A 16,765-nucleotide genomic window follows, 5' to 3' on the forward strand; every position below is an offset into this window, starting at 1 on the left:
GTTTTAGGATAGAGTGGGAATGGGCATAGACCCGGCAATTACTTCGGTTAATTTCATTGGCTACTTTGTCAGCTAAGAGACCGAGGGAATTATGGTCATGAGAGGAAAGCACGGGATAGGGTAAGATGAGGAAACAGAGGGGAATCATGACAGGGCTGCTGAGGCTGGAGATGGAGTATATATGTTGTAAGTAGGACACATCACTAGGATAAAGATGGGACGTTGTAGAGGACACAGGAGTAGTAGCAGAATGCGTAGACCCAAAATTGAAGTCAGAGACAGGGGAGGGGAATCGGAGTGAATCTTGTTTCATGATCTTTGGCAGAAGCGGACTGCTTCATCATATCATTTACTTGCTCCGTAGTTCTTAGGATGGATGTCTGTCTCCAGCTGTTGGCTACTTTTAGAGGTTCTTTTCTTTTCTTTCCTTTCCTTTTCTTTTTTTTTTTTTTTTTTTTTTTTTGAGACCGAGTCTTGCTCTGTCACCCAGGCTGAAGTGCAGTGGTGCAATCTCTGCTCGCTGCAAAGTTTGGAGGTTCTTTTTTTTTCTTTCCTTTTCGAGATTGAGTCTCGCTCTGTTCCCAAGGCTGGAGTGCAGTGGCTCAATCTCGGCTCACTGCAAGCTCCGCCTCCCGGGTTCACGCCATTCTCCTGCCTCAGCCTCCCGAGTAGCTGGGACTACAGGAGCCCGCCAATTAGCGCCCGGCTAATTTTTTCGTATTTTTAGTAGAGACGGGGTTTCACCTGATGGTCTCTATCTGCTGACCTCGTGATCCGCCCGCCTCGGCCTCCGAAAGTGCTGGGATTACAGGCGTGAGCCACCGCGCCTGGCCTGGAGGTTGTTCATAGAGTCTCAGCGTGAGTCTCTGGTTAGAGTGCCTTCCAATTGAAATAGATTTTGTATTTTTTCAACTAAAAGACATGCACCCAAGTTCAAACACTCTGTAATTTGTTAGCAGTGTTAGCAATGAGTGAAACAATAAAAGGTCCCCTCCCTCTGGGTTCAAGGTTAGTTTTCTGATGTTGGTGTTTTTTCAAAATGCCAGATCACTTACTTATGAAGCAAGTAAGGACTGATCAGGGAGTTTAAAGATACAAGAAGCCTCAATTGTGGAGTATAGTGGGGCTGTGTGTATTTAATTAATCCCTGACAATATCTGAGGTTGTTGAACTGAGTTAGTTTGGAATCTTCTGCTAGTTTGCATTAGTAGGGTATTCTCATGGGTATCCCGTAATGATTCAAAGAGGATCGTTTGTGTGAAGGTAGGGCCAAGGATCTGAGAGTCAGTGTGATGGGTAATATCTGTGGCCATGGCAAGTTCTTTCTTCAGACAGTTTAGCCAGTTCAGCTTGAGGATGCTGTTGGCTCTTTGTATAGAACTTTATCACTGAGGATGGTAAGTCCAGTGGAATATTTGGCTGGTGTGTGTAACCTTTCCTATTTCCTGAATAATTTTGCCAGTGAAATGTGATCCTCTGTCACTAGAGGCAGTAGAGGGGATAACCCATGTGGGGAAGATTCACTCTTAATAAACCTTGGCAACCGATGTCCTTGAGGAGTTTCAACAGGGAAAGCCTCCCATTCTATTTTCCAGTGAAGGAAGCCTATTTTCCAGTGAAGGAAGGATGTAGAGGGAGCCACTTCCCTTTTTTGCCCCACCTTTATGCTTTTTGGAGGATTATGTTGTTGGTAGATGCAGCAAATGGCAACAGCTTGGTCCAAATAAAATCTAAAGAGTCCAAGCCATATTGTTTTGTTTAATATATACTACATGTTATCCTTTCTGTGGTAAATCTGGATGAGCAAATTGTACACAATGACTTGGGAGACAGACTTAGGAGTTATCAAATGGCCATCTGGGTATTTCTGAAGTCCACTTAAGTGGATCAAACATTCACCTTTTTCTCATCCAATTCTTTCTGACTCTGAAATTGTTATCTGGGCTGTGTGAATTTTACATTTCCTTTAGAGGCATTGTAAAGACATTGCTTCTGTCAATTTATTTAAAGAGGGTAAATAATCCTAGCAGGACTGTGGGTATTTGAAATGAAGCCCAGGTATCTAGTCACAAGGTTTGGAGACTTCCTGGATTTCTTAGGCGGCCAAGGAAGAGGATGCTAGCTTAGCACCTTTATCAGCCAATTTATTTCCCTGAGCCTCATCTGAGTATTTTATACTATATCCCTCAGCTTTAACTGTAACAACTAGCTGGGGCAATAGCAATGACTCTAGAAGTTCTGCTATTTGGGGTTTACTTTTGACTGGGGACAAGTTGCTGTCATGAATCCTCTCTGTTTTCAAAACATACCAAAATCATGCACTACACCAAAGACCCAGTGTCTGTCACTGTAGGTGCTAATCTTAATTCCCTCTGCCTTATATAAGCCTGAATGAGAACAGTTAATTTAGCCACTTTGGCTGATTTAACGTGTGGCAAAGCTTGGCATTCAAGAGTTTTGTGTAGATGAGTGATGGCATATCCAGGCTGGAAGGTCCCAACCTCCTTCCAGAAGTAGGAGCGATTGACATAGAGCATCAGGTCGACTTAGGAGAGAAGGGTTTCTGACATATCTAACCTAAATGAGACAGTGATCTGGTTTCAGTAGCACCATTGTGTGTGTGTGCTGAGGGGTTCCCTTAGTGGACAAAATGTACAGGGTAGCAAGGGATTTTTGGCAGCAAAGGATTGTGATTGGGTGGGGAGGCATAGTGATATTTCATGAGAAGTAAGTCGAGAAGCAAACGAGTGCTGTGTGTTTTCATTAAGTAATAGGGTCAACACAGCATGGGAACATACACATCAAGTGGGCGGCCTAACACTAAATCAGAAGTAGCCTGGATGAGTTGGAAGTCATGGCCACTGTTTGTAGGCCAGGAGGATATGCTTCAGCACTGGCTGGTTTTGTGGGAAAACAGAGAGAAAGACATGGCTGAGTCTCATGGTGCTCAGAGAAGGCCACAGCCTTGGGGTGCCGTGGTGACCACAAACACTTCCCCCATCCCATACCAATCTTTAAGAGCCTTTTCCTTCTTAAAGACCTGTCACTTAGCAAAGAGCTTTCAATGAACCCTCCCCTCTGGGCCACTTGTTGGATTGCAGCCAATCAGTGATGGAGGGCTGGACACAACTGTGGGATGCTGTGATTTGGTTTAGCCCTTGGGTCTAGAGTGCTCTGGGGTCCACTGTACTTCTGGGATAAAACGCCAAGGCCATGACTCTCTTGCTCATTTACAAACAAAAAATTGAGGGCTAGCTAAACAAGGACAGGGTGGAAGCAGCTTTCTGTAAGACACACCCACCAGTGTGCCCTGTCAGTTTACCATTGCCATGGCAACACTCAGGCATTACCACCCCTTTCAGCAGCAATGACCTGATGACCCAAAAGTTACCACCCTTTTCCTAGCAATTTCTGCACAAACCACCCCTGAATCTACATGTAATTAAAAGCAGGTATACATATGACAGCAAAACTGGGCTCAGCTGCTACTCTCGGCACCCTGCCTATGGGGCAACCCTGGGAGCAGTCACTGAGCTGTGACCCTGCAGGAGCTGTAACAGTGCTGCTTTGATAAAGGTGTTTTCTTCCACCTTACCACTGGCTCGCCCTTGAATCCTTTCCTGGGTGAAGCCAAGAACCCTTGCAGGCTAAGCACCACTTTGGGGTTCGCCTACCTTGCATCAGCATCAGGTTTTTTTTTTAAACTTGTAAAATAGTTTTTGTGACTCTGTCATGTATTTTGCAGTCATGAACTAACATTTTTTCCCTCAATTGTCAGTTGCAGTTTCCTCAAAGATCATTATAAATACTCCTTAACCTACAAAGTTTGGCAGTCACAGCCTACTCTTTGAGGAACAGCCTGACTCACCATCAAGTGGCTCCTCAGGTGGTTTTACTTCCCATGTTTCCCATGTGAGGTACTAAGCCTCAGTGATTCCTGGCAAAACTTGTATTCTCTGTTAGTATTGCGCTAACTTTGGAGTGAGTTTCTTTTGGTGAGTAATAATTTTAGTCAATGATACTACTGATTATTTTATCTTTTTTTAGGCTTATGATGAATACCTGATTTATGATTAGTATGTTTTTCACTTTTACACATTTCAAGGAAGGAAACAAGAACAGACAGAAACACAACATACTTCATGAAACCACATTTTAGCATCCTGGCCGAGTATTCATCACTCAGCAAGATAGAGAGACATAAACTATTTCTAGCAAGAATACTTCATAAATGATGAATAGAAGAAAAATAGAAGTCCTAAAAATCTTGCAGAACTGTCTTAATTTACTAATATATTTACACTGTATCCTAAGTCACTCTCTAGCTTCTTGCTCTAAGCATATGAAATGTAAGAGCTAATGGGAACCCCAGTGCCTGTATAAATAACAAGAACCAGCATGTCTTTATTTATGGCAGGGAATACTCTACAACCTGGGACAGATGCCACTCTGCTTCAGTTTGGGGAAGCTCCTCACTTTACCATCCTGACGTTGAATAAATGATTCAAAGGCAACCTGATGCAACCTGAGCCACTGGATGGCTTCTGTAAATAAAGTTATCTCACCTGCCATTCATTACAGAGAAAACAAGAAATAAGGCACTACATGTCATATTTGTCTAGATCCTATACATATTTAGGTTCACATTAAAATGAAGAGAAAACAACATAGGCTGAGAATCAGAAAACCTGAACTCTGTCCCAGCTCAGCTACTGACCAAAGAGAATTAATGAATCGCTTTAAATGTCAGTTTCTTCATTAAGCATCGTAGAGAATGTCAAAACCAAGTTTACAAATACTGTCATTCCAAAACCACACAACTCAAATATAAATAATCTTTATAAGGTAACAAAAATGTACATAATACTTTACATAAACATTTTTAGAATAACTTTATTATAACTCGATAAGCAAAATAATCCAAACCTTTATACATTTCTACAAGGATAGTCATGTATGTCAATTTTTGGGTTTCCTCTCGTGCCTATTTTGTCTCCTGAGCCGGCCCCTTTCCAGCTGACACATGTGCTCCGTGTTCTCCCACAATAGCCTGATCTGGCCTGAGTCCACGCCCCTGTGAGCCTCCTTTCTTTGCTTACAACAGCAGCCTGCCTGATGTCAGTTATGGACTATTCTTTTTTTCAGCCTCGTTTCAGGGTCCCCTGCCTCTTAGAGCTGCTGCTGTAGCTTAGCTAGAGACCCGCTGCTGTTGCATCATGGAAAAGTGCCACATATGTGCACATGTGAAAGAATACGCAGACCTTCATGTTGTGTTTTAGTTTTAGAAAAAGTCAGAAGTAGCTTCACTTGATTTCAGCTTGTAAAGACATAGGAGGGAGGCAACTGGGAATCACCGTTGCAAAAAGCAAACATCAAAAATCACATTAAAATGCTGAAGTGTTGTGGAGCACAAACCTAGCTTTATTGGATCAAGCATTCGTGAGAGTTCTTCTACTTGCTTTGTTATGCTTTCTATCAGACAGGGCTCATTCTCTGTCTTTTTTTTAACATATTCATTTTTTTCCTTTGGTCTGTTTAGATTATTATCACATCTTATGTTTTAAAACTAGCAAAATATTATGTGTAAGTCATGAAGACAGTGTAAGAAATAATAAAATGAACACTGATGTACACATTACCTGCCTAAGAATAAAAAACTACCCGTATTTTTAGAGTCCTTAACACTGTCCTGTTAATGAGTCCCATTTCTTATCTTTATAATTTTGCCAAAATAAATGCATTAGTAAAGGACATTGAGCATTATTGTTTCACATATTTTTCAGTTTAAACAAATGGAATCACACTGAATATATTTTTCTGAAATTGCTTTTTGGTTCAATATTTAATTTGTAAAATTCATTCTTATGATATGTTTGTCTGTACTTTCTGTGCATTGATTTAGAGTATTCCATCACAGGATAATACTATAATGAGCATTCCATTTTATTAGATTGGGGTTATCCATTTTTTTCTATTACAAAACTAGATGTCCTTTTCTTGTATGAGTCTCCTGGACATAAAAGGTAGATTTTCTCTAAGGTATAAACCCAACATTCAAATAATTGTGTCAAAAGATTTGTATACTGTTGGTTTTACTACGTTAAAATGAACTGTTTTCCAATTTATGCTCCCATGAGAAGTTAAAGGTTCTGGTAGATCTATATTCTCAACAATACTTAATAGTATCAAACGTTTTAACGTTAGTCAACTTGGTTTCTCATTTGAATTGTAATCTGCATTTTTTAGAAGTACTGAATCAAGGTAAGAATCAAGTAATGAAAGACTATTATTTTAGTAAATAAAAATGCTGTAAAGACAATAAAGCAAATGAATGTAATCAAAAGTGGAGACGGGCTACTTCATTCTGATAGTCAAAGATGGCCTTGCTGGTCATCTGAGTTGAGAGGTGGCTAGTAAGACGAGAAGAGATGTTAAGTAGCTGTGGAAGGGGCCTGCTGGCACAGGGCATGCTCCAAAGCCCTGAAAAGAGGCAAACATTCTTTCCCTCTAAATACCTGAACTAAGTAAAAACAGTCCTGGCTTTGCACATTTGAATATGCACAGGTTTAATTAACATAGTTTAGTTAAATAGCACTAGTCTCCCAACAACCTGGTTACAATTTCGGTTACCACCATATGCTAACTGTGAGCAACTGCATAAAATCCAAACTTCATTCCCAGCTCTTAATTCCACAAATGCCTGTGTGAGTAAATAACAGACAAGCATCATGATCAGGGACTGTATTAATCTTGTGGGGATGCTGCAACAAAGTACAAAAAACCGGGTTGCTTAAAACAACAGAAATGTATTGACTCGTAGTTGTGGAGGCTAGAAGTCAAAAATCAATGTGTTGGTAGGTTCATGCTCTCTGCTGGCTCTAGGGGAGAATCCTTCTTCCCCTCTCCTTCCTGTTTGGGTTTGCCAGCCATCCTTGGTGTTGTTTGACCTACAGATATGTCACTGCATTTTCTCAGTGTGTCTTCACATCGTCTTTTTTGTGTGTGTGTCTGGAGCTGTATCCAAATTCTCCTTCACTATAAGACACCAGTTAGTCTATTGGATTAGGACCCACCCTAATGACCTCATTTTAACTTGAGAACCTCTGTAAATGTGCTATTTCCAAATAAGCTGATATTATTTGGAGATATTGGGGATTAGGATTTCAAACATATCTTTTTTGGGGAACACAATTCACTTCCTTCAAAGCCTGCCAGTGACTGATCAATGTGCATCAGCTAGTTCGCACACAGACAGCAAAGTCTGCAATCGTGTTGATTCCTTGTCTCCCAGTGAGAAACCCATGTGACATTTATAAATATGAATAATCAGAAGAAAAAACTTGTCAACAACCATTGATGTGCAGCAAAGAAATAAAAAATGTGATAACCCTGGAAGTGGATTCAAATACAATGTAAATGGAATCATAGAATTGGCTCACCACAGGAAACGCGGCAAGAGGAACTCGGCGCAACGCAGTGTTCTGACATAAATGAGGAACGCAGCTGTGATTAAAAGGATGAAGAAGCCCCAGAGGAAGTGATGCCGGCAAAGACAGCAACAAACTTCATATTAAAGGAACTCTTGTAGATATTGCATGACGTTGACAATGTTAGATGCTGTTCCGAAAACAGCACGACAGTTCACCAAGGCATAGAAACACTGCTGGCTCCTTATCATAAGCTATACGACAAGAGGGAGGCAAGCACTTTTCAAACTGGGCTTGATACACGTCTATAAATAAATAAAGCACTTTAACTGGCTGTTGTTTAATGTTTTAAATTACAGTGTATAAACTAAGTACTGGCCAGGCGTGATGGCTCACTCCTGTAATCCCAGCACTTTGCAAGGCCAAGGTGGACAGATCATGAGGTCAGGAGATCAAGACGATCCTGGGTAACACGGTGAAACCCCACCTTTACTAAAAATACAAAAAATCAGCCAGGTGTAGTGTCACGTGCCTATAGTCCCAGCCACTTGGGACGCTGAGGCAGGAGAATAGCTTGAACCCAGGAGGTGGAGGTTGCAGTGAGCTGAGATCACGCCACTGCATTCCAGCCTGGGCGACAGAGCAAGATTCCATCTCAAAAAAAAAAAAAAGTACTAACTTCACTATGTTTCATTTCCTTATACATTTATAACCAACAGTAAGAGATTTTTAATGTTTTGGCCAAAATTTTTAAATGACACAGAACAGTCGATGTTTCACATGGATTGTTTAGGTCACTTTACAGATCTTCAGCTTGCATAGTGATTTGTATGGCCCTGCACTGCTGTGCAAAGAGAGGACTGTTTGTGTTCTTAACCAGTAAGAAGGAGGGCAAGAAAGAGGTTCTCAGCCAGATATTGCGTATGTAATAAAATGATGGGAGAGGGAATAACACTTTAGATATGAAATGTACCATGTGGGGAAGCTATTTGAACAACAACAAAATAGCTTAATTTAACCCGATGGAGTACACTCAGCCACCTTCTAGATGTCCCTGCTTATTCTTCAAATCTTCTCTTTTGTGGCCCCAAAGAATGATTCACTCTCTGGAGTGAAAAATAACCGTTGCTTTCTTTGCCTGGAACTTTAAACTGAGTTGTGCTGTATCATCCAAACCTACTCAATCCTCTCTTTTCCATTAATCAGTGAGGTCCAAAGGAGCCAAAGACAAATCTCTCCTGTTTTTCTTAGAAATGTAAAGATGTTGCATCTGTAACCACAGGCTGCTTGTAATCCTAAAAGTCAGCGTGATAATGAAATCCAGTGATTAATTTCTGTCTTCTAATCAATAAGTAGACATATCAATTTATAGTATGTTAGAAAGCCTCAACTTCACTGAAACAAAAAGCAAGAGGCTCTGCAAATGTTGGAGTGTGCTAAAGGAAAAGCATGGACTGATGTTTGGGGAAAGGTTGGTCAATGTGATGAGGCCATCTGTGTTTGCTAATAGTGCTTATCAAAATTAGGTTCCTACGCAGAGACAGAGACCAGGAGACAATCCTGTATCCTTCTTGATCCTTATAGTCCAAAGGGATGGCTCCCAAGTCTTTCAGAAAGACATTTCCATGTTGTAGGAGATTTAAAGGGGCAGAGAAAGGGTTTATAACTGCAGGTTATCTGTCTTTTTTTTTTTTTTTTTTCCAGACAGAATCTCACTCTGAGCACAATCTCGGCTCACTGCAACCTCCGCCTCCCAGGTTCAAGAGATTCTCCTGCCTCAGCTTGCTGAGTAGCTGGGATTGCGTGTGTGTGCCATGACGCCCAGCTAATTTTTCTCTTTTTAGTAGAGACAGGGTTTCACCATGTTGGCCAAAATGTTCTCGATCTCTTGACCTCGTGATCTGCCCTCCTCGGCCTCCAAAAGTGCTGGGATAACAGGTGTGAGCCACCACGCCTGGCCATTGCAGGTTTTCTAAAGTTAAACCTCTTAGAAATGGGAGGTCAGGGACCTATAGTCAAGTTTTGGGTGGGACAAACAGTAAATTCTTTTGGCAGAATTGAATGTTCCCAGGCAGGTGCTTTAGAGGGGTATGGGGCATCGTAGGGACGTGGCTCGGAGCTGATAGACACTGTGTTGGAATTTGGCCAAGTCTCTTAGTGTATGTATGAGGAGGAGGGATGTGCAGAAGAAGTTGTTTGTGCCAAGAATTTATGGTTTTCACAGGTTAAGACAGTGGTGCCTGGGATCATCTGCAAGGCATGAGTCAAATGTTGACACAATGATTGTTTGCAGACTCATCTGAGGGCTTAGGCAGATCTGGACCTGTTGATACTGAAGTTTCTGAAGGTAGAGGAAGAAAACATAATGTCTCAATAATATCTGAAGTAGGGGTAGGAAAACAGAGATTTAAGGAGGTGAGATCCCTTAAGGCCTCAGAAAGAAGCTTCACTTCTTGCGCCTCCCTTCAGAGTAAATGGGTCATTAAATTAGTTCTTTGTAACCAACCTGGGAATGATGGTGAAGAAGGGAATAATGAGAGGAAAAACTTTAAATAAGAATGCCTGAGAGATAATACTAGGTCAGTGGGAGAGAAAGAAATTTCCAAGAAGTTGTCATGGGAAAGGGCTCACGAATAATAAATAAAAAATTAGTTATTAATAATATAAATTAATATATGAAAAATAAATAAGACATCTGCCAACAGCCACACTTACAGCACTAGATGGATTTTAACTGAATTAAAACTTGAGTTTTTAATGAATTTTCTACAATCCAAAATTTATTTGTTTAATTTTTGTAACAAAACACCATTTCTTTACTTTTTGCAAAAGTAAAAGTAAAGTGCTATTTGTACTTTTTAAATAAAAACTAATTTTAAAGAAAAAAATAATTAGCTGGACGTGGTGGCAGGAGCCTGTAATCCCAGCTACTGGGGAGGCTGAGGCAGGAGAATTGCGGAGGTTGCAGTGAGCCCAGATGGCCCCACTTCATCCAGCCTGGGTGACAGAGCGAGACTCTGTCTCAAGCTTCTTCAGTACTCACATGTAAACTTCTACTTTCCCCTTCAGATTACAGCAACCATCATGCCAAAGCTATACACTCTCAGGGAATCCCTGTGGATTTCACTGATGACCACTTGACCAACTATTATAAAAATCAAGGCCAGGGGTTCTCAAACTCTCAACATTTGTGTGCTCATCTCCCCTTCACCCAGAGACTCCCCAGGGCTGCTGGGCCACGCTTTGTTTGGTTTGACTGGAACATAGCTCGAAAGGGATGGAAATTTCCAAGAGGTGTTAAGAGACACATAAATATTTCAAAGATTAAAATGAAAGAAATAAAGAAATGGGCATTTGTGAGCTTTGGTCATGAGAATGCAGGCCTCGCAGTACTTAACTACTTCCAAACCCCTGTCCAAAGAGAGGACCAAACGCTAGTGAGGCTTCCGGCAGCACAAGGGTGTCCCGCGGATGACCCCAGCCCTCTTAAAATGACTGCCTGAAAAAGCTCACTTGCAAAGAAAATTTACTGTTTGTTTCAGGCAAAACCTGGTGATGGGCAGGTAGAGCCCCGAATCCCCTCTTAGAACCTTAGAAAGCTTGCAATTATAAATTTTTCTCCACCTTTGAAGTGTAAATCTACATCCCAGAATTGTCTCCTCAAAGACCTGAGAGTTCTCTCTTTGAAATGCAAACATTCAGGAAGCTAACTCTTGCTCTTGTTGCCAGTTCCTGAGGGAGGGGAAAGGCCTAGCTTTGGCGAGCACCTTGTTCCAGCTTGCACCTCTGACTCTTTTATTGCCATGAAAATCAACATGTAGACTTTTTTCAAACCCAATGACAGCCCATTACAATGGAGGCCATAGCAATGGAGGTCTCTACATGCAAAAAAAATGGTGGGACAGTTTCCTGATAACAGGTCAACTTTATTCCAAGGATAAGCATGTCATGAAATTATTGGATGGCAGATTATGCTTATCTATGGTCTTCCTTTTTCTCCTTGGTCTCATCCCAATAACTTACAGATCCTTTAAAGGCAAAGGCCAAATATTCAGCTAAGTTAGGCATACTTTAGATGCCAATGTCAATTTTAGCTATATGGGAGATCCTACTTAAGATATTGAGGACGATCATGTGTGTACAGGGCAAAAAAGATGGGACAAAGAGATAAGAAGGGGATGGGAAATCACACCCTCCCTCCGCACCACAGACCATGACCTGGGGCAGGTCCTCTAACACCAAGCCCACCCAGGCCCCATCTAACAGTATGCCGCATTCTACATGACCTCAGAATTCTTTCGGAATTCCAGCTGAAAAGCTGAAAAGCAATACTATATAGTTGTGGTTTCCAGCTGGCCCATGTTAGTATGTATAGCTTTTCTTCCTCGCCATGAAAGCACTATGGGAGAACGAAGCCCGATGCTGGGCATGCTTTGCCAGGTGGGTGCTGCTGAATCACAGACCTCAGCAACTGTGTTCCGCCTCCACAGAGGCTGGAGATGTTTGTTTCCCCAGTGTGTTCGTATATTTCAGCCAGTTTCATGCACTTTGCCCTCTCAGTTTGCTTCACTTTCTGGCTCAGTGAACCTGACCTGCAAGTCTCCCTGCAGTTTCCCTCAGCAAGTGCTCACTGGGCAGCCCCAACATGTGAGAAACGGCTGTAGGGTGCACAGAGGTGAACTAAATTACTAAAAACTATTACTTTACTAAAATGCTTCCTGGATTCCAAAACTCACCAACTGGGAGAAAGGTCAGACACACACGGAGACAACTCATCTACACAAATGATCATCAGTGATTTAAAGAAGGTACAGCAGAGCGAGACTCCGTCTCAAAAAAAAAAGAAAAAGAACGTACAGGAGATCATGGAATAAGAACAAGAAGAGATTACTTTCCAGGGCTCTCAGAAAGTTTCTAAAAAGAGGTGCCATTGACCCTGACCTTAGCATTGTGATGGAGACATTACAGAGCTGGTAGGAAGGAGAAGAAGAAGGAACGGCTGGAACACACTTGGGGTGAAATGAGCAGCATTTCAGTGTGGGAGCTGCAGACTCAGTTTTGGTGGAAGAGTTAAGAGCCAGGATCTTGTCAGGAATAATTCTGTGTCCAAGTGCAGAATCGTGGTTTGCTCCACTACTGCCAGTAACTCCATTTCTCAATCATGATGGTGATGCTTTTTTTTTTTTTGGCTCCCAATCCCGGAGAGTGGCCATACTGAAGTCACATTACAACAATTAACTTTTCAACTATTAGATGATTAATTTTTACCAAGTAGCAAGAACAGCTGTTTGGCACGTAGCAGTGTGGCATGAGTATCTTGTAAATGAATTAAACAAAATATCTCTCCAACACACACACAGTCATTCTTGCTGCATGTCAGCCTCCACTTCTCCCTCCATTATTTGATGCTGTGAAGCTGAGGCAGCCAGCTTGAGCGAAAGCTTTCAGATCTCACTCCAACAAAGAGCTTTGATTGATTCATTTAGTATAAGGTGTTTTATCTGGCTAGAGAAATCCAAGCTGAGTTTTATTAATTACTAAGAAAAGTATGAAATAGATTAATCTTTGATCAAAACTATGTGTGAAGTAGAAACATATTACACATATGGAGAGCAGTTTTATGGAATAAAAACAATCTATGTGTGGCATAACTGACATTGTCTTTATATTTTTGGGGGGGTGTGTGAGGACGGAGTCTCACTCTGTCGCCAGGCTGGAGTGCAGTGGCACAATCTTGGCTCACTGCAATCTCCACCTCCTTGGTTCAAGCAATTCTCCTGCCGCAGCCTCCTGAGTAGCTGGGATTACAGGTGCCTGCTGCCATGCCCAGCTAATTTTTGTATTTTTAGTAGAGACGGAGTTTCACCATGTTGTCGAGGATGGTTTCAATCTCCTGAATTCATGATCCTCCTGCCTCGGCCTCTCAAACTGCTGGGATTACAGGCGTGAACCACCTTGCCTGGCCTATACATAATTTTTAAAACAGATACAGAATATATAGATAGCTTAACAATTATAAAATTGTATTTATCAAGTAGGTCACGAGGTAAACATTTTACGCTATGCAAAAGGGAGCAAACCTCCGAATTTGTCATGCAGGGTCACTAGTGGAACTCACAGCAACAGGTCTGATAAAGCAGAGGAGGGAACCGGGCTTCCGTGTGCTTTAGAGAGAGTGAAACATGAGGAGTCACAGGCAGAGAAAACTGTTTTTCAGAAAGAAAAGAAAGGGGACATGACAGCCCAGCAGTAGGGTGAAGAGGGCCTCTCCGTGGGTGCCGCTGGCTTGAGCTGCTGTAAGTGGCTGTGCCGGGAACAGAGGATCTGTATAGGAGAATGGGGAAGGGAGTGCTGGAACCGGGGGTGGGCAGGAGCAGCAGTCTGGAGACCAGAATGACCTAGGGTTTCCTCTCATGCTCCCATTCCCAGTGTTTCACGTGTGTAAAGTAGCAAGCATGCATATACTGCTTAGAGGCATCTACACTTAACATACTACACTCATATACAACACTTGCATCGAACAAAGTACACATAGTAGGTGTGGCATGTAATAAGTTACCCTCCTATATTTTCTTCTAAAAGATTTTTAAATATTTGCATCTCAAATTTAAGTCCTTTGTCCATTTAGATCTGGCCTTTGTGTGATAGCGATCCATTTTTGGGATAGAGATCCATTCTGATATTTTCCCATATGGATACCAACTGCTCATACCATGGATTATATAGACCCTTTCTGACTGTTCTGTAATGTTAGCCAGGGCATACATCAAGATTTCACACAAGCATACACTTTCACAATAGCAATTCCTGCTGTGGTAATTATAACTTCACAGTAAATCTGGTACGTGATAGACTCACATAAGCTCCACCTCCCACCTTCACACACTTTAGTCTTCTATGGGATTGTCTTAGTTATACTGGGCCCTTTTATCTTCCGTATAAGCTTTGGAAGCAGTTTAGTGACAATGGTACTCTTGTCTTTTTCTTGATTTTAAAAGGAGTGATTTCGATATTTTTAATCACAAAACATGATAGGTGCTGTAGGTTATTTGTTGACTCCTTTTATCAGGTTAAGGAAATTACCCTTTATTCATAGGTGGAAATATCATGAATTATTTAATTTTTGTAAAATAATTTTATAGGCCTTTTGAGACAATCATATAACTTTTGTCTTTAATTCATTGATAAGGAGATGATTTCAGTAGATTTTCTAACATTGAACTAAATTTGTATTACTAACCGAGCTTGTTCATGGTTTTTATACTTTGCTAGGTATACTTCCTAGTATTTTGTTTACAATATTTGTCTCTGTGTGCATGGATGAGGTACACAATAGCAAGGTTACCCTAGTCTCAAATGAATTGAAGAATGGCCTCTTTTTTCTCCCCTCGCAAATAATTAGTGTAACATTGGAACTACTTGTGACATCATCTGGGCATCCTGTTTTCTTTGTAGAATTATTAATTATCAACTCAATTACTTTAATGGTATGATTTCCATCCAGATTTTCTAATTATTTGAGTCAACTTTAATAAGTTAAATGTATCCAAAAATTTGTTAATCTCACTTATTTACAAATGCATATATTTAATTGTCTTATTACTTAATGAAATAGATCATAAATATAAAAGTGTGTATGTACAGCTTAAGAAGAATATAAAATGAGCATATGTGTCCTTCCTTCAGGTTATGAAATAGAATATTTCCAGTATCTTAGAAACTCCCATTGCCCTTCTACAATGCCACTCACTCCTTCCACAAGAGGTAACCACTATCCCTAACTTCCTGTTAATCATTCCATTGCTTGTCATTACAGACTTGTATATTGTTTAGTTTTGCACATTTGACTTTTTAAATAAGTGAAACTATGTATTGTTTCTTATGATCAGATATGCATACACACAAACATGTATATGTATGTATATATACACACATACACACATTATTTTTAAGAGCAGTTCAAAGTTCACAGCAAAACTGAGCAGCAGGTATAGATTTCCCATATACTCCCTGTCCCCCACACATGCATAGCCTCCCCCATAATAAACATCCCCCACCAGAGTGGTGCATTTGTTACAATTAAAGAACCTACATGATACATCTTATAGTTTGCATTAAGGTTCACACTTGGGCTTGGACAAATTTACAATGACAAGTATTCACTATTAAAATATCATACACGTACTTTCACTGCCTTAAGCATCCTCTGTGCTCTGGTTATTCATCCCTCTCTTCCTCCTAACTCCTGGGAACCACTGATTTTTTTTTCTATTTCTATAGTATTACCTTTTCCAGAAGGTCATAAAGTTGGAAGTGACATACGTAGCCTTTTTAGATTGGCTTCTTTCATTCTGCAATATGCATGTAAGCTTCCACTGTGTCTTTTCATGGCTTGACAGCCATTTATTTTATCATTGAATGGTATTCAGTTGTCTGGATGTAATACAGTTTGTTTAATTATTCACCTACTGAAGGTAATCTTGTCTCCAAATTTTTGCAATTATAAATAAAACGTCCATAAACATCTGTGTGCAGGTTTCTGTGTGGACATAAGTTTTCAACTCCTTTGGGTATATACCAAGAAACAAGATTGCGGGGTCGTATAATAAGAGTGGATTTAGTTTTCTAAGATGCCACAAAACTATTCTCCATTTTGTATTTCCATCAGCACTGAATGAGAGTTCCTGTTGCTTCACATCCTCATCACCATTTGGTGTTGTCAGAGTTCTGGATTTTTGCCATTCTAATATGCATGCAGTAGTATCTCATTGCAGTGCTGTGTTTGAGAATGTGAGTAGCTGCAGTTCATTCACTCTTAGTGCTGCGAGGTACTCTATTATTGGAATATATGATCATTTAGTTACCTATTCCACAATCTACCCATATTGAGAGATAACTGGATTGTTTCCAGGTTTTTAAAATTGTGAACATTCTCATATATCCCTAGGTAAACAAATGCAAGAATTTTTCTGGGGCCTGTAACAGGCTGACTAGATTGCACTAGGTTGTAGTGAAGCCACTGGGTCATAGGGTACATGCATGATCAGCTGTATGAGCTAACATCCGTTTTCCAAATGGCTGTCCTTCTACTTGCATGGGATGAATGCTTCCACGGTTCTTTATCCTTGCCAATACTACACCTTTCAGAACTTCCAAAAAATTTTGTCAATATGTGTGAAAGGGTATCTAATTGTTAATTTTCATTTTCATGATTATTATTAGGTTGAGCACTTTTTCACATGCTTATGGGCTATTTATGCTAACTTCTTGAGGTGTTATTTTTCACTTATTAATTTATAGGAGAGCTTTATATATTCTGGATACTAAACCTGTCTAGG

General features: G+C 40.7%; 1 long non-coding RNA gene across 1 annotated transcript in view, besides 1 other annotated feature; it reads left to right on the forward strand.

Annotated features, from left to right (window-relative positions):
* LINC01189 (long intergenic non-protein coding RNA 1189) overlaps positions 1-16,765 on the forward strand; it is a 69,529-nt gene that overhangs the window by 48,347 nt on the left and 4,417 nt on the right. The gene's annotated exons all lie outside the window — the stretch shown is intronic.
* Positions 10,448-11,402: an enhancer, noted in NCBI's record as "OCT4-NANOG hESC enhancer chr9:46822585-46823539 (GRCh37/hg19 assembly coordinates)". NCBI's record gives its function as "activates a minimal SCP1, AML or CMV promoter by ChIP-STARR-seq in primed H9 embryonic stem cells {active_cell/tissue: H9 hESC(primed)}" and the evidence as "EXISTENCE:reporter gene assay evidence [ECO:0000049][PMID:30033119]".

Source organism: Homo sapiens, chromosome 9, assembly GCF_000001405.40.
Source record: "Homo sapiens chromosome 9, GRCh38.p14 Primary Assembly".
NCBI classification, from domain to species: domain Eukaryota; kingdom Metazoa; phylum Chordata; class Mammalia; order Primates; family Hominidae; genus Homo; species Homo sapiens.